Source organism: Homo sapiens, chromosome 5 (genome assembly GCF_000001405.40).
Source record: "Homo sapiens chromosome 5, GRCh38.p14 Primary Assembly".
NCBI lineage: Eukaryota > Metazoa > Chordata > Mammalia > Primates > Hominidae > Homo > Homo sapiens.
Window position 1 is genome coordinate 14,592,044 of NC_000005.10, and position 17,505 is coordinate 14,609,548.

Consider the following 17,505-nt stretch of genomic DNA (forward strand, 5'->3'; position numbering starts at 1 on the left):
AGTTGAGACAGAGACCACATGGCCGATGAGACCTAAAATATGTACTCTCTGACCCTTTTCAGAAGACTTACCCCTGATGTAGAATGAAGAATGTGGTCACCTTGTTGAATTCTGTCCTGGGGATCACACCCAGGACATTGTGTTTGACCTGGGGTCTCACATTAAGTGTGGAATGAGTTTAGAGAAGACTGACCAGGACCACGAAGAGACTCCCCAAAGATATCATGTAGGGACTGGTTGAGAAAACAGGAGCTGTCTAAACTATAAGAGAGAAAGATGCAGAGTGGAAATGATGGAAATGATAGAACTTCGAAGAGAATTACTCAGGGGAAGGCAGTAATGTACAGTGGTTAGTTCAGAGGGCACAGCTCTACATCAAAACCTGGGTGTTCAAGTTCAGACTTCTACTTCTTTTCTGTGCTTCAGTTTCTTCACCTCAAAAAGTGAAGCATTCCTGTTAGAGCTCATCAGATGACCAGATCCACAGTGAATTAAGATTCAGCATTTGCCTTAGAGGTGTTAGTGGGAAACAGTCATGAATACACTGAACTAGCCTGCAGTGTGGACATATTGCTGAGGGAGCACTCTGGGAAGCCTAAAAAACAAGTAGAATTCTGCCTTTAGCCCAAAGCATTCTGCAATCCCATGAAAAATGTAAAAGGTCGTCATATGGAAGAGGAATCAGACTGGTTCTTCATAACCCCAAGCAATAGATTCCAGGGTGGTTACAGATCTGAACACCTCAATCTCTTGCTTAAAACTCTCAGAGCCTTCCCTTGCTCTTCAGTTAAACATCAGCCTCTTGAACGGGACCTTCAGGCTTCTCCAGCCTCCCCTCACTTTCCTTGCCTTGCAAGCCCCTGTCCAACCTTGGATCTCAGCTCAGTCTCATGTCCTAGGGAAGCATTCTCCAACTTCGTTTAGCTCAGATTCCCTTCTTACAGTGCTTGTGGACCTGCATTCCTTTCCTCTGGAGCGTTGCCTCAGTGGTGCTCTGTTCCCACTAGGAGTCTGTCTGTTAGTCCCTGCCAGGAGAATCCAGTCGGTTGCATTTATAATTGTAGCATCAGCTCTTGACACTGTGCCTGGCCTGCGGGAGGAGCTTAATCTATGTTCGTAGAATAATGATCAAAGTTGATCAATAAAGAGAGAAACATTCCAAAAAAGGGAAAAAGGAAATGGACTCCCACAGGATGGAGCGAGTTGCCAGCCGAGAGGTATGTAAGCAGTGGTTGGATGACAGATGGTGGGAGATGGTAGCCAAATGGTTTATATTCAGATAGTGCTTTTTTGTTTAATTTTGTTCCAACCCTGTGCTATCACCACTTTTTGGCCATTGGAGTACCTTCTTGGGGTCATCAAGGCTAAGTGATTAGTCCTCTAGCTAGAAAATGACAGAATGAAGACAAGAGTCCTTTGCTCATTTTTGTCGAATGAGTTGTCTCTCCCAGGCTGAGGAGGCCTGTGTGGTTGGATAAAGCAGTGGCAGTGCTGGAGTTCTGTGACTCCACGGGGAAGGAATTACAACTTCCTCTTTAGTAGTAGCCTATCCCATCTATAGCTTTTGTGGTTTTATAGTTGGGTGGATTTTTAAAATGCAATGATTAGAAAATGAAACTTACCTTTAAAATGATGGGTTGCATTCAACATCTCTAGAAGATGTGCCCAGTCAAGAGATGTGCCCGACTCTCAGCTGTGATGTTACTAAAGAAAACACACACACAATCCTCTCAGTGTTTGGCCAGGAGCAGCTTCCTGTCATATTTATTGATACTTTCAGTTTAGTGGGCGCCTTGGGGGCAGTGTGCCCCATCCTGGGGGGATGGTGCTGATAGCATAAGTGGGTTGCATGACAGCCTACAGTTGAATGTCTTAGTGGTCATGACTTTCAAGATAAAATCCTCCCACTTGGTGGTTCTCTTTCTCAGTGATATTGATCTTGTAGTTGTTGGTTATTGTATTCTACTAAGTGGAAGACTGTCATTTCTTATTGAGCAGAATTAATAACTGAAATACAAAAGTTCAGATGGTCCTTTGAGTTTAAGGATTTATTAAGAGGGTGTTTTTTTTCTGAATATCTCCCCCGTAACTGGTAGAAAAACAACCAACTAATCTATGATTTTGCAAGAACCAACACAATTTAAACTTACTCTTTCACACTGCTGTGCTAACTTCTAGAAATCTCTTGAATCTCCATGTGCTCCAAATTATTTAGAAAACTTGATGGCCTAACAGGATTTGTTCTGTGTGTTTTTCCTTCTGTTTGTGTAGTGCTTAATTTATTTGTTTAGACTAATGTACAATATTTTGCTTTATTCTGGAGCTGAGTTTCTCAGAATTAAACAATCAGTTCCCACACTGAAGGCTCCCAGCTTTTCCCTGCAGTCACACTGAGGCCTAAGGAGAAACTAAAAGCCTATGAGAGAGGTGACCTACTGGGGAATGGAGGTGCTCACCCAACCAGCTGACAGGAGGACACTGTGTCCCCAGGCCAGGGGGTCCCTGTGGGCAGGGACCGTGTCTTGCACTTCACTGCCTCCCTGCCTGGCATCCAGCCCAGGGGGGAAGAAGTGTGAGGAATTGGTGAGGGGTCTGGGGAAGGGAGCGGGCAGCCCTTCCCAGCCCGTCCCTGTCTGCCTGTTCCATTGGCTTCAGTTTATTCCTCTGTACAGCACTTCCTGCCCTTGATTACAAATGACCTAAAAGCCATATTCACCTTTTCAAAGGGAGCAGGGTTCCATGGCACAGCTCAGAAAAGTGTGAAGTTTCCCCAGCACCTCAGGAGTCTCTGTGTCCTCTGCTTGCTCACCCACCCCCATCTTCCTACCTCTCTTGCCACAGAGTGTCCTTTCTCACCCCTCCCTTGAGTTCCTTCCTATTCCATCAGCCTCTCTTCACCACTCTCTCTTCCATCGTCTGCTAACTAACCATAATAGGACATTGAAGCAGATAGAAATACCTGTTGTGTTTATTAAATGTAGTACTTCTACCTTAAGTTCTTTTAGCCAGGTGATTTCACTGTATGTATATTTCTTCACTTTCTCTGCGACCTCAGACATCTAAATTAAATTGCCTTTATGTCCTCCCAGCTCAGAGTTGATGTCCCTGCTCCCTGGCCTGCTCAGTAGCCCTTGAAAGACCACCTCTGCTTCAGGAGAAAGTCAGTGGGCTAGATGCAGGTGACAGAGTCTGTGTGTAGAGAGAAAGTGTGGAGGTACTGATATTGTATATACCATGAATAAGATCAGGAGAGGAAGTAGACAAGGTTGAGGACTATGCAGCTGGCCCATGAGGAAGTAGAGATAGTACAGATTCTGGAAGTTTGAGGCAAACCAGACGCTGCTGAGTTTCCATGAGATAGAGAGACTGTGATGTCCAGGACAGTAGGAGCCTCAGGCTCCTGGGGTAGAACTGCTGTTTGCACGATCACTTGGTTTCCGGCTCTTCAGTGTCTTTTAGTTTTGTTTTCAGGGTTTTGGGGTATGTGTGTGTGTATTTGGTTTCCTGTTTTAATGTTTGAATTACTTCAGCTTTGGTATATTGTAGAGAATGGAAAAAAAAAAACACTAAGTAGAATTTTACCACCAAAAACGGTGCTTTTTTTTTTTTTTTTTTTTTTTTTTTGTGTAGTTCTGACCAACAGTCTCATCTGCCATATATCGTTTGAGTGATCACAGATCAGATTTTAGTTTCTGATATTCACTTTGTTGATTTCAGGAGGTCCTGGTATAATTCCTCTAGGACATGTTCACTGCTGAAGCATTACTTCTGCTTGTGTGGGTCGGGGTCCCAACATGCATTAATGCTGATGACTAGGGGGATGTATGAGACCTAGGTAATACACTTTGCAATATAACAGACATGCATTGTGCTGTATGTATGGTCTCATTTCAGCCACCACCCAAGTGGTTCAGCCCAAAAATATTGAAAAGAAATTTCATGTTTTTGTGTATCTTCACAGGCATTAAAGAGGATCAAATCCATAATTTCTGGCAACACTGCTCTTTTCCACTTCCCCTTGCAACTTCCTTGTGGACTTGTGAAACTTCACTGTGGACCTGAGGCTCCTACTGTCCTGGAAGTCCCCTTGTGGACTTTCTGGAGATTTTTTTTGCCAAAACTTGTCCCCTCCCAACACACTCCTTTTTGTTCTTTTTTTATGTAGAATGACTGAATTCGTGGAGGTGAAACCTTTTCTCCCTTCCTGTTTCTCTGAGTCCCAATCACCAAGCCTTCCACAGGCATCCCTCTCCAGGGATGAGGCGGGAAAGCTGGGCCAGGGACTGCAGAATTCTCCTTGGCAGGCTGGTGGAAGGGGGACCCCTATGAACCTTCTGATATCCACAATTTTATCTCAGTTGTATTTGGGGAAATGAGATTTGATGCTGGAGGTCATCAGAACTGTCATTATGACACTGTTTTGCAAGATGTCTCATTACGGTGTTTTCTTCTGTATCATTTTTTAGTTGTAATTCAGTTATTAGCCCAGGAAGGATAATTTTTTTTAAATTTTCCTTTTAAAGAGTCTTAATTTACTTGCTATAGCAATATTAATTTGAAGATTTCCTTGGTTCCCTAATTCAGAAGCAGGACAGCCAAGTGGTAAAGGAGGCAACTTCTGGCATCATGTTTTTGTTCATTTTCTGTTGTTATAACAGAATACCACAGACTGGGTGATTTATAAGGAAAACAAGTTTATTCCTGCAGTTCTGGGGACTGGGGAGTCCAAGAGCACAGCAGGCACCAGATCTGGTGAGGGCCTTCTTGCTGCATTGTAATGTGGTGGAGGGCGTCACGTGGTGAGAGGGTATTAGCATGCAGGTCAGCCACCAGTCCTGTCATGGGGGCCCCATGCTGATGGCCTTATCTAATCCTAATTATTTCCCAAAGGCCCCACCTCCAATCATCATATGAATTTTGTGATTAAGTTTCCAACACATAAAACTAACATGTAGGACACATTGGGGACACATTCATACCATAGTATATCACATTGCTCCTGTTTTTGAATTCTGGCTCTTCTACTTACTGGCCGAGTCCCATTGGGCAATTATTTAATGTTTTCCCCCTCAAAGTTTTCTCTGCAAAATAAGGGTTACTAGAGTAATAACAATAAAAACAATAATTCGTGTTTATTGGGTACTTATGGTGTGTGTCAGGTATGGTGCCAGGTGCTTTCCCAACATTTACTTTCAGTCTCACAGCAGCCCTGAGAGGTGGATCCTGCTGTGCCTCCTGTGTTGTGATGCAGTGATGATAGTAAGAGTGACCATGCACTGAGCACTCACTGTGCACCAGGCTCTACTATGTGCTGTCTTCATTCCTAGGTTCAGAAACTGAGGCTTAGGGAGGGGAAATCACTTGCCCCATATCACATGCTGCAGTATGCAGGGCCAGCATGGGGACCATGTTGTTAGACTCTAGAGACTTCTTACTGCCTGCTCCATGGCATGGTCATAGGAGTAAATGAATTAATTCCTGTAGAACACTTAACATAGGGGCTGGCACATAATAAAAGCTTAAACTGTAGCTATTGTAGCTATTGGTGAAGTCATACTCTTTCCTACTAAAACGCATTTCTCCTTTGATAGAGAAGGCTCACTCCTAATGTCATCAGTGAACAGCTCGTATAGATCCTATACATGGCTATACGGCCATGGCCTGCTTCCATGTGACTTCACAAGTCCAACAGAGTACCCTTCCATCCACCTCCAGATGGTTCTCTGGTACCCACACCAGCACCCCCATGAATAGGCTCCCTGGCCCTTCTTGGCTGCAGTTACTTGACAAAACAATGTGGACACATTGGGTAGAGGGAGACCAGGAGTACAGGCATGTGTTCTAGGTTTTTTTTTCTGACGGGTTGATCATATCACAATCTCTTGGATTGTAGGTGGGGTTGAGATTTGAGGGTAAGGGCATGTGGTAGGAAGAGTATATGTGAGTGGGGAGAGCCATGGTCTGTAGCGGGTCCCCATGGAGGCCTGGGAGCTACAAGAGAGGCCCTGTGCTCAAGAGAGATGGCCCAGCTTCAGGGTCTCACCTCAAATTCCACAGGGGCTAGTTGGTAACTGCCAACTAGTAGGTTCCTGGGTTGTAACTGCAGCAGGTTGGGTGGAGCCTGCGACAGACGAGAGCATGTGTCCGTGGAGGGGGCAGCAGCCATCCCCACTTCAGTGACTGCAAGCCCTTCACATCCACCCACAAGTGAGCACCACCCTGTGGGAAATAGGCAGATGCTTTCAAAAGGCCTTCAGAGAAGAAGAGATGTGAACAGCCAGTATGTACAGGAGAGCTTTCCTTGTAAATGGAGCCTAAAGTGAGAAATCACACCAGTACTGGGGTTTAGGGAAGTAGGTGCTCTCGTGTATGTGATGAGAGTCTGTGGTAGTGTCTGTCAAAACTGAAAATGTGCACACCCTGTGACCTAGAATTTTCTTTTCTTGAAATTATCCTATTAAAAATCTACCACAAGGACTGTTAGAAAAGCATATTTGCCACAGCATTGTTTGTAAAAGTGAGAAATGGGAAATGATCCAAGTGTTTATCAATAAGGCAGTGTTAGGCTGAGGCGGGAGGATGGCTTGAATCTAAGAGTTTGAGGTTGCAGTGAGCTGTGATCATGCCACTGTGCTCCATGCTCCAGCCTGGGCAACGGCACAAGACCCTGTCTCAAAAAAAGGCAATGCTTACATTTAGGACAGTTTATACTGAAATATTATGCATCATTAAAAAGAATAATGTAGATTTATGTGTGCTGATATGAAAAGATGTCCAACTTTTATAATGAGGAAAAAACTAAAATCATGTTATAGTCCATTTTTCTAAAAAACATTTGTACCTACAGTAAAAGAAAGTATGTATCACCTGTGTAAAATTCTAGTTCTTCCATGAATTTAAAGCTTCACTAAAAATATTTGCTTGTGTCAGAATTTTTAAAGTTGAAAAATCAAGCTAAATTAATAAAAATCTAAATTATAGATGTAAAAGGCAATATAGCATTACATTTTTAAGCTTTCATAAAAAGTTTTACTAAATGTCTAGGTAAGAATAAATATATAATGATTTGAATAGCTAATTAACTGTTCTAAACAGATAAGCACTTGTTTTTGAAAATATCCTTTTAAGTAATTGTAAATGTATCTTTAAAATTTGCTATTGTTGGCCAGGCGCCATGGCTCACGCCTGTAATCCCAGCACTTTGGGAGGCTGAGGTGGGCGGGTTGCCTGCGGTTGGGAGCTCGAGACCAGCCTGACCAGCATGGAGAAACCCCATCTCTACTAAAAGTAAAAAACTAGTCGGGCATGGTGGTGCATGCCTGTAATCCCAGCAACTGGGGAGGCTGAGACAGGAGAAGCACTTGAACCCGGGAGGCAGAGGTTATGGTGAGCCAAGATCACACCATTGCTACTCCATCCTGGGCAACAAGAACGAGATTTCATCTCAAAAAAAAAAAAAATTGCTAGTGTTTTTTTCTTTATTTGCTGGCAAATTATTTCTTTATAAGTGTAAATATCACATCAAATATCCAGATGATAAAAACTGTCAAAATTTTAGATTCTACATTGATGAGTCTTTTACTGGAGTTAATCACTGGAATTTTACTAAATTATGTACTGTGGAGGAAATTATTTTGCAATGAACCCCAGAGGTTTGGTCATTATTCAAAGTCCTCTTTCTCATTTGTACTTCAGCATTTTATGTGCTCAAACATAATAAGGAATCTACTGAACATAGCAAAATATTACAAGTGCACTGTTTGAACTCTCTAGTCCTGTTAGTTTTCTCTTTTGTCAAATCAGGAATCACAGTGTATATCATATGCAGCATCACTAAATAGATCTCATGACTCCTTTTAAGTGGTCTACTTTCTGGAAATGATATCTATGTGCCTGCTGTCTGAGTTACTTGCTCTGTGCTGCTAAAGTGATGCCATATGTTATGGCATGCAATGTTTCAAAAATATATAAATGGGCAGAAGTGGATATTGGAGACTGATATGGTTTGGCTCTGTCCCTACACAAATCTCATCTTGAATTATATAATCCCCAAGTGTCATGGGAGGGACCCAGTGGGAGGTAATTGAATCATGGGGGTGGTTACCCTCATGTTGTTCTCATGCTAGTGAGTTCTCACGAGATCTGATGGGTTTTATAAGGGGCTTTCCCCCCTTTTGCTTGACACTTCTCCTACCTGCTGCCATATGAAGAAGGATGTGTTTGCTTCCCCTTCTGCCATGATTGTAAGTTTCCTGAGACATCCTCAGCCATGCTGAACTGTGAGTCAATTAAACCTCTTTCCTTTATAAATTACCCAGTCTCGGGTATGTCTTTATTAGCAGCATGAGAATGGACGAACACAGAGGCGTCTCTGGAGGCATCGCTAGACGTCACCTGGTTTGACTGCCTGCAGTGTATTTGGGTCTGGATTGAATCCCTGTAATTGTGTATGGGATCCAATTCAGATATTCAGCAAGAACCAAGTGTGTGGCAGGCATTGTGCTAGTGCTTAAAAATTTTGTTCCACCTTTCCCTAGCCAAGTCAGTGTTTTCACACTCATTGTACAGTCAAGAAAATTCAGAAGAGGAGTTAGGTTGCCATAGTCACACATCAAATAGTAGAGGCAGGTTTTGAGTTCAAGTCTGAGAGATTCTGAAGCCCATACTCTTTATTCTTCTTAATTTTGTGGAACAAAGATGGTCTTGTATATGGTGCTGATTATGGGAGAACCATAAAGAAATTAAAAATTTCTTTAATTTTTGGATTGAATTTTTAAATACTTTAAAAATATTTATGTAAATCAGTGATAGATACTTTGCAGGTAAAATTATGCAATCTCTCTCTGCATTTTTTTTCTCTTAAAGCAAACTTGTGTAATTGTGATGTGCTTTTTTTTTTTTTTTTTTTGTAATTTTCATAGGAAGTGACCAAGTTCACTCCTGGATGCTAGCTACAAGCCAAGCCTTAGACACTGTCTGGAGAATGGCAAAAGGCTTTGTGATGTTGGCAGTTTCATTTCTGGTGGCTGCCATCTGCTACTTCCGGAGGCTACATTTATATTCAGGGCACAAGCTGAAATGGTAGGTCACTGTATCATCCTTAAATTTCAAATGTATCTTTACTATTCAAAGCAGAATTCTGATATTATTGTTCCCTTTTATCTTTCAGGTGGATTGGATATCTGCAGAGAAAATTCAAAAGTAAATATTTTCATTCATTTATTTCTTTATTTTTAAGGTGCAGAGAGGGTTCAAGAAGGGAGAAGAAAGGGAGAATTAACAGCTTTTTATTTTTTATTTGGTCCAGGGAACCTCAGTGTGGAGGCAGAGGTTGATTTACTCAGTTATTGTGCAAGAGAATGGAAAGGAGAGACACCCCGTAACAAGCTGATGAGGAAGGTGTGTCTGTTTTTAGAGGGTATGGGAGAAATAGAGTTTGTCTGTCAAAATCAGGAAACAAACATTCCCTTCTGCTTTACTAAATCCAGATATCCATCAGTACCAAAATGTGAGTCAAGTAACAACTGTGGCTCTAACTCAAAAGCCAAATGGCTGTTAGACCTTGGCTTTGGGCTTTTACCTGGAGCTCGTGCCCTCAAGGGCTCAGGTCGATGAGGTCTGTAATTCCAGGAAACTCAGGCATTGTGCCTTTTCAGCACCCTCCTGGCCAGGCCTATTAAACATCCGCATGTGCAGTGGAGACTGTCTTTGAAAAGATCAGGCACCCTGATGTAAAATATTTTGAGGATTTTTAGAATTTTTATTGGACCAATCTTGGTAAATATCCCCAGCAGTGCTGCCCAATCTTGCCACTAGCAAAAGCAAAAAAGGGTGGAGGGAGTACATATAAAGTACTTAGCATGGTCCTAAAAGTATACAGAGTTTTTCACTGTGGTTAGGTCGCATCCCTTATCTGCCCAAGGTGACCTTCCCTGGCTCTGCTTCCAGGATTTATCATCTAAAATACACTTGTACAAATGAGAGTCACTTTAAAATTACATGCGGTCATATTCGTAATTTATCATTGTTTCTGTTGTCCACTTTAGTTGGGAGGAACACCTCACTGAAAATACAGTGAATTCACTTTATTTTCTTGTCCAGTGGAATTAATAAACAACTTTCTCTTTTTATTTTATTAGGCTTATGAGGAGCTATTTTGGCGGCATCACATTAAATGTGTTCGACAAGTAAGGAGAGATAACTATGATGCTCTCAGATCAGTGTTATTTCAGATATTCAGCCAGGGCATCTCTTTTCCATCATGGATGAAAGAAAAGGACATTGTTAAGGTATGTCTTCCCCCTGGAAATGTGGGAAATGTCATGTTGACAATAACTGCAACTCAGACTCCTAGTCTTTGGGGGCTTTGTACTCAGATGACCATGAGATTGAAGAGATTTTTTTGTTTTTTTGAGACAAGATCTCACTGTCACCCAGGATTGAGTGTAGTGGGGTGATCATGGCTCAATGCAGCCTTGACCTTCTGGGCTCAAGTGATTCTCCTATCTCAGCCTCCTGAGTAGCTGGGACCACAGGTGCATGCCACCACGCCCATGTAATTTCTGTATTTTTTTGTAGAGACAGGGTTTTCCGTGTTGCCCAGGCTGGTCTTGAACTTCTGGGCTCAAGCAGTCTGTCCACTTCCTCCTCCTAGAGTGCTTGGATTATAGGTGTGAGCCATCATGTCTGGCCAGAGGAATTTTAAGAGGCCATTTAATCCAGTCCTCTGTCTCTCATGTCAGTTGCAAATAAACCATCTCAGAAGATAGTCATTATCTGTGTTTGTTTTTAATGCCACCATCTTTTCTTGAGGGGCATCTGTTCTTTTATAAGTAAGGTGATCAAGCAAAATTCACTTTTTTACTCTATAGTTAATGAGAGTTTTAATAAATGCATAGTTTGTGACCACCCCAAAGATTCTCTTGTATACTTTGGTAGTCCATCCTCCTCCTACCCCAGCCCCTGAAAACCACTGATCTATTTTCTGTCCCTATAGTTTTGCTTTTTCCAGAATGTCATATAAATGGAATCATTCAGTATGTAGCTTTTTGAATCTGGTTTCTTTCACTTAGCACAATGCATGTTCAATTGAATGTGTCTGTGAATTTGTATTTCATCCTTTTTTATTGTTGAGTGGTATTCCTTTACATGAATGTACTACAGTTTGTTTATCCATTCACCAGTTGAAGGACATCTGGATTGTTTTTAGTTTGGGGCAACTATAAATAAAGTGGTTATAAATAGTCTCATACAGGATGTTGTATGAACAATAGGTTTCATATTGAGGGGATAAGTAGCTAGGAGTGAGACTGCCTGCTTGTATGCTAGGTGCATGTTTAACTTCATAAGAAACTGCCAAGCTGCGTTCCAAAGTGGCCCAGCCATTTTGTATTCCCACCAACAATGTATAAGCAATGTTTCAGTTGTTTCACATTCTCACCAGCACTTGATATTGTCAGGTTTTTGTTTTTAGCCATTCTAATAGTTGTGAATTGGTATCATTGTGCTTTTAGTGTGCATTCCCCAATGAGTAATGATGTTGAGCATTTTTCATGTGCTTATTTGTCATCCCTGTTATCTTCTTGGAGAAATGGCTATTCAAATCTTTTGCTCATTTTTTATGTTTTTTTTTAAATTATTGAGTCTTGAGAGTTCTTTATTCTGAATACAGTGCTTTGTCAGATATATGATTTACATATATTTTCTCCAGTCTGTGGCTTCTGATTTTCTTAACAATGTAAGGCAGTGCATTCTTGATAAGTAACCTGAGTTTTTATTTTAAATGCAGTATGTCTAATATAGGAACTACATTTAAGGATAGAGGTGCAAAGAAATATAAAATATGTGTGTGTGTGCGCACGTGTGTGTGTGTTCAATTTTCTTAATATCTTTTATTTAAACTTGTTTCTATTAGTTCCATTTCATCTAGCAAATGCTTGTCAAATATATGCAATGTGCTAGCCCAGTTGCTAATTGCTGAGGACAAAGATATAAAAATACAACAGAGGCCAGGAGCCGTGGCTTATGCCTGTAATCCCAGCACTTTGGGAGGCCAAGTTGGGAGTATCTCTGGAGGCCAGTAGTTTAAGACCAACCTGGGCAACAGAGCAAGACTCCATCTTGCCAAAAAATAAAAAAATGTAGCCAGACATGGTGGTCATGCCTATGGTCATAGTTACTTTTGGGAGACTATGATGGGAGGATTGCTTGACCCTAGGAGTTTAAGGTTACACTGAGCTATGATTGCACCACTGTACTCCAGCCTGGGTGATAGAGTGTGTATTAGTCTGTTTTCATGCTGCTGATAAAGACAATCAAGATGATATTTGGGTGGGGACACGGCCAAACCATATTATTCCACCCCTGGCCCCTCCCAAATCTCACATCTTCACATTTCAAAACCAATCATGCCTTCCCAGCAGTCCCCCAAAGTCTTAAATCATTTCAGCATTAACTCAAAAGTTCACAGTACAAAGTCTCATCCAAAACAAGGCAAGTCCCTTCTTAAGGTATGTCTTCCCCCTGGAAATGTGGGAAATGTCATGTTGACAATAACTGCAACTGTAATCAAAAGCAGTTTAGTTACTACCTAGATGCAGTGGGGATACTGGGTAAATACAGCCATTCCAAATGGGAGAAATTGGCCTAAACAAAGGGACTACAGGCCATGCAAGTCCAAAATCCAGCAGGGCAGTCAAATCTTAAAGCTCCAAAATGATCTCCTTCGATTCTGTCTCATATCCAGGTCACACTGATGCAAGAGGTGGGTTCCCATGGTCTTGGGCAGCTCCGCCCCTGTGGCTTTGCAGGGTACAGCCTCCCTCCTGGCTGCTTTCACAGGCTAGTGTCAAGTGCCTGTGGCTTTCCCAGGTGCATGGTGCAAGGTGTTGGTGGTTCTACCATTCTGGGGTCTGGGGAACGGTGGCCCTCTTCTCACAGCTCCACTAGGCAGCACCCCAGTGGGGATGGGGTCTCAGTGTGGGGGCTCCCACCCCACATTTCCCTTTCACGCTGCCCTAGCAGAGGTTCTCCATGAGTGCCCTTCCCCTGCAGCAAACTTCTGCCTGGACATCAAGGCATTTCTGTATATCCTCTGAAACCTGGGTGGAGGTTCCCAACCCTCAGTTCTTGACTTCTGTGTACCCACAGGCCCAACACCACGTGGAAGCTGTTAAGGCTTGGGGCTTGCACCCTCTGAAGGCATGGCCCTAGCTATACCTTGCTTGGCCCCTTTTAGTCATGGCTGGAGTGGCCGAGATGCAGAGCACCAAGTCCCCAGACTGTACACAGCAGAGGGACCCTGGACCTGGCCCATGGAACTGCTTTTTGCTCCTAGGTGTCTGGGCCTGTAATGGGGCGGGTGGGGGGGCGTGGTGCGGGTGCTGCTGTAAAGGTTTCTGACGTGTCCTGGAGACATTTTCCTCATTGTCTTGGTGATTAACATTTGGCTTCTCATTAGTTACGCAAATATCTGCAGCCAGCTTGTATTTCTCCTCAGAAAATGAGATTTTCTTTCCTATAGCATTGTGAGGCTGCACATTTTCTGAACTTTTACGCTCTCTCTTTCAAAACTGAATGCCTTTAACAGCATCCAAGTCACTTCTGAATGCTTTGCTGCTTAGAAATTTCTTTCACCAGATACTCTAAATCATCTCTCTCAAGTTCAGAGTTCCGTAAATCTCTAGGGCAGGGGCAAAATGCCACCAGTCTCTTCGTTAAAACATAACAAGAGTCATCTTTGCTCCAGTTTCCAAGTTCCTCATCTCCACCTGAGACTACCTCAGCCTGGATTTCATTATCCATATCATTATCAGCATTTTGGTCAAAGCCATTCAACAAGTCTCTAGGGTCTTCCAAACTTTTCCACGTTTTCCTGTCCTCTTCTGAGCACTCCAAATTGTTCCAACCTCTGCTTGTTACCCAATTCCAAAGTCGCTTTCATGTTTTCGGGTATCTTTTCAGCAGCACCCCAGTCCTGGTACCAGTTTACTGTATTAGTCTGTTTTCACACTGCTGATAAAGACATAACTGAGACTGAGCAATTTACAAAAGAAAGAGGTTTAACTGGACTTAGAGACAGTTCCATGTGGCTGGGGAAGCCTCACAATCATGGCGGAAGTCAGAGGAGCAAGTCACATTTTATGTGGTTGGTGGCAGGCAAAAAGAGAGAGCCTGTGCATGGGAACGCTTCTTTTTAAAACCATCAGATCTTGTGAGACTTATTGACTATCATGAGACCAGCACAGGAAAAAGACTTGCCCCCACGATTCAGTCACCTCCCACCAGGTCCCTCCCACAACACATGGGAATTCAAGATGAGATTTGGGTGGGGACACAGTCAAACCATATTAAGTGAGACCTTGTCTTTAAAAAAGAAAACAAAACAAAACAACCACAACAGAGATTCCCAGGCTCAGCAAACTGAGTAGGATGGGAAAATGTATTGGATACCTATGATGGATTAGACTCTTACATACACCATAATCTTATTTAATCCTAACAAGAGTCCTATAAAATGCACAGTATTATTGGTATGTTACAATGGAGGATGAGGCTAAGAAGTTAAGTAATCCATGCCGGTTAAGTAATCTCTCAGCTGGTGAGTGACAGCCAGGTGTGAGCCACAGAGTGCATCATTCTAAAATCCACCTGTTCCCTGATGTAATATACTGCCCTAACATCATTTGGTTAAAAATAATTTCTAAAGGGCTACATATAGTAAGTTTGGTAACTATTTTAACAAAAAAGATTGTTTCTATGGACACAATTCTATGTTTTCATCACTTGTGAAATTGTAAGAATATGATGTAAAAATAACCTGAGGCACAAATCTAAAAGAAGGCAATATACTTAACTGTTGCTATAGTCTTTTAAAATAAAGATTGCTAAATGAGGTAAGTTTGGGCCGGGTGCTGTGGCTCACACCTGTAATTCCAGCACTTTGGGAGGCCAAGGCGGGCAGATTGCTTGAGGTCAGGAGTTCGAGACCAGCCTGACCAACATGGTGCAACCCCGTCTCTACTAAAAATACAAAAAATTAGCTGGGCGTGGTGGCTCATGCCTGTAGTCCTAGCTACTCAGGAGGCTGAGGCAGCAGAAACGCTTGGACCTGGGAGGTGGAGGTTGCAGTAAGCCGAGATCACGCCACTGCACTCCAGCCTGGGCAACAGAGTGAGATTCCATCTCGAAAAAAAAAAAGATAAGGTTGTGTGCTGTGCTATACAGCAAATTGTGTGTAATAAACGTTCATATGCTAATCATAGTTGGCATCTACTTCCTTTTCAAGCTTCCTGAAAAACTGCTGTTTTCACAAGGTTGTAATTGGATTCAGCAGTACAGTTTTGGTCCTGAGAAGTATACAGGCTCGAATGTGTTTGGAAAACTACGGAAATATGTGGAATTATTGAAAACACAGGTAAGTGTTTGCGGGGGAAATAAAAAGACTAGGAATAAAAGCACATATCCCAGATAGAGCCAGTTTTCTCTGATGTCAGGGACATTGCTTCATGTTAGGAAAGTAAGAAGTGCAAGCAGAAATGCTTCTAGTAACTGATGATTTCCCTCCTTATTCTTCCTTCTCCTTCAAGAAGTGAATGAGAGCAACATTGTTCTACACGATAATTAGGCCCTATAGGGTCGGGGGCTTCTATGGGCCGGCCTTTAAACCTTACCAATCATGTACCTTTGTTTCCCCAGAAAAATGTGGTGCAAGTCCAGGCAAGGTGCTCAGAAATGCTCTCCTGGAATGCACCCCATTCATAACTTGGTAATGGCACAGATGTAATAATTTGACTAAGACTTCTTCCTGTCTTTCAATAATGACACAGATTTTGGATGATTGAAATGAATCCTGAGCCTACCACTAGCTTGGTTACCTTGGGAAATAACCTTTCTGGTCCATAGTTTTCTTATGTATTAAAGAGAAACATCAATAGTGTATATCCTGTACCATTATTGTGAGGATTCAATGACGTAATACACAGAGAGCTTTAAACTGTGCAGAATACACAGTGAATGTTAAAGCACACTAGCACTATTCTGTGGAATATCCTTTGTGTAACCCATCCATCCTAAGCAGTTTTGGAAAACTGACTTGCTTTGTATTTAACTAGTAGGTGATACTTTTTGAAAAAAATATTTTATCTAAACTAATTTCTTATTGTAAACATTTTATGGTCAGCTTAGGCTTCTATAACAAAATACCATAAATTGGGTGGCTTAACCCATAAAGATTGATTTTTCACAGTTCTGGAGATTGGAAGTCAGAGATCAGGGTGCCAGCACAGTGGGGTTTTTGGTGAGAGCCCTCTTCCTGTTTTATAGACAGCTGTCTTCTTGGTGTGTCTTCACATAGTGGAAGGAGAACTAGCTAGCTCTTTGGCCTCTTCTTATAAGAGTAGCAGGTCCATTCATGAGGGCTCCACCGTCAGGACCTAATCACGTCCCAAAGGACACACCCTCTAATACCATCACCCTGGGATTAGGGTTTCAACATAGGAAGTTGAGGGAGACATGTTCAGTCCACTGCAGTATACTTTTATGGTTAAAAAAAATCAAACAGTGCCGAAAGATAGAAAGTGAAGAGTTAAAGTTCCACTTTTTTCTATTAATCTTTGGTTTATTTTATAAATACATTAAAAGTTATGGAATGGTATATGTCTTCACCTTTATCCTTCTGAATTTCACTTTTACATCTGTTTTTAGTGGACTGAATTTAATGGCATTAGAGATTATCACAAGAGAGGAAGTATGTGCAACACCCTTTTTTCAGATGCCATTCTGGAATATAAACTTTATGAAGCTTTAAAGTTCATCATGCTGTATCAAGTCACTGAAGTTTATGAACAAATGAAGACTAAAAAGGTCATTCCCAGTCTTTTTAGACTCCTGTTTTCCAGGGAGACATCCTCTGATCCTTTGAGCTTCATGATGAATCACCTGAATTCTGTAGGCGACACATGTGGACTAGAGCAGGTAACCGGGGAGGAAGAACTGCTTGTATTTGATTAAGGATGCTGTGGCACTATTTGAACACAGAGGTGTCTGGGGTGACTTTTCAGTGGTGACATAAGCGATTGCACAGAGGTGGTTGATTGATATTATCGCCCCTCAAATGAGGAAAAGAAGACTAATAAATGCATTATTCTGTGCTGGCTGCTTTGTGTCTCCTCAGACCTCTAGCCAGAGAGCACCAATTCTCGGGGCCTTTCTGACCTCTCACGCTGCTTCCCAGATGCCAACAGGTTCTCTCACATAGACGTTCACCAGGAAAAAGTCCAGGTGGAAAATGAGATAATTTTGGGAAAGCGTTTGGTTACCTATTGCAGATAAATAGAAATTAATTGAAACTTTCTAAAGCCAGAAAATGAAAATGCTTTTATCCCTCTAGAAAAGAGTTTCTTTTTTGTTTTGCTTTCCTAGAGGGCGAACAAAATTATCTGACATTTTTAAACAAATGGATATAAAATGATATAAAACTGATTGAATGATATAAAACTGATTGGA

At 42.0% G+C, this 17,505-nt stretch overlaps 1 protein-coding gene across 5 annotated transcripts in view, besides 3 other annotated features; it reads left to right on the top strand.

Moving 5' to 3' along the window:
• Positions 1–17,505, top strand: part of OTULINL (OTU deubiquitinase with linear linkage specificity like) — a 34,389-nt gene that overhangs the window by 10,252 nt on the left and 6,632 nt on the right. For 4 of the 5 annotated variants that reach the window (XR_925623.3, XM_047417322.1, XM_047417323.1 and 1 more), the window contains 6 exons: positions 8,922–9,081; positions 9,170–9,201; positions 9,308–9,399; positions 10,140–10,289; positions 15,287–15,415; positions 16,705–16,974. Coding sequence is in view for 4 of the 5 variants with exons in the window: in NM_019018.3 (NP_061891.1) it covers positions 8,922–9,081; positions 9,170–9,201; positions 9,308–9,399; positions 10,140–10,289; positions 15,287–15,415; positions 16,705–16,974 (833 nt within the window). In the remaining variant the exon portion in view is untranslated. Of the gene's footprint in view, positions 1–8,921; positions 9,082–9,169; positions 9,202–9,307; positions 9,400–10,139; positions 10,290–15,286; positions 15,416–16,704; positions 16,975–17,505 lie in introns of those variants that run through there. The other variant, XM_047417324.1, reaches the window with a different exon arrangement.
• Positions 1,600–1,969: an enhancer, noted in NCBI's record as "active region_22404". NCBI's record gives its function as "activates an Ori minimal core promoter by ATAC-STARR-seq in GM12878 lymphoblastoid cells {active_cell/tissue: GM12878}" and the evidence as "EXISTENCE:reporter gene assay evidence [ECO:0000049][PMID:35858748]".
• Positions 3,146–3,235: an enhancer, noted in NCBI's record as "active region_22405". NCBI's record gives its function as "activates an Ori minimal core promoter by ATAC-STARR-seq in GM12878 lymphoblastoid cells {active_cell/tissue: GM12878}" and the evidence as "EXISTENCE:reporter gene assay evidence [ECO:0000049][PMID:35858748]".
• Positions 6,084–6,323: an enhancer, noted in NCBI's record as "active region_22406". NCBI's record gives its function as "activates an Ori minimal core promoter by ATAC-STARR-seq in GM12878 lymphoblastoid cells {active_cell/tissue: GM12878}" and the evidence as "EXISTENCE:reporter gene assay evidence [ECO:0000049][PMID:35858748]".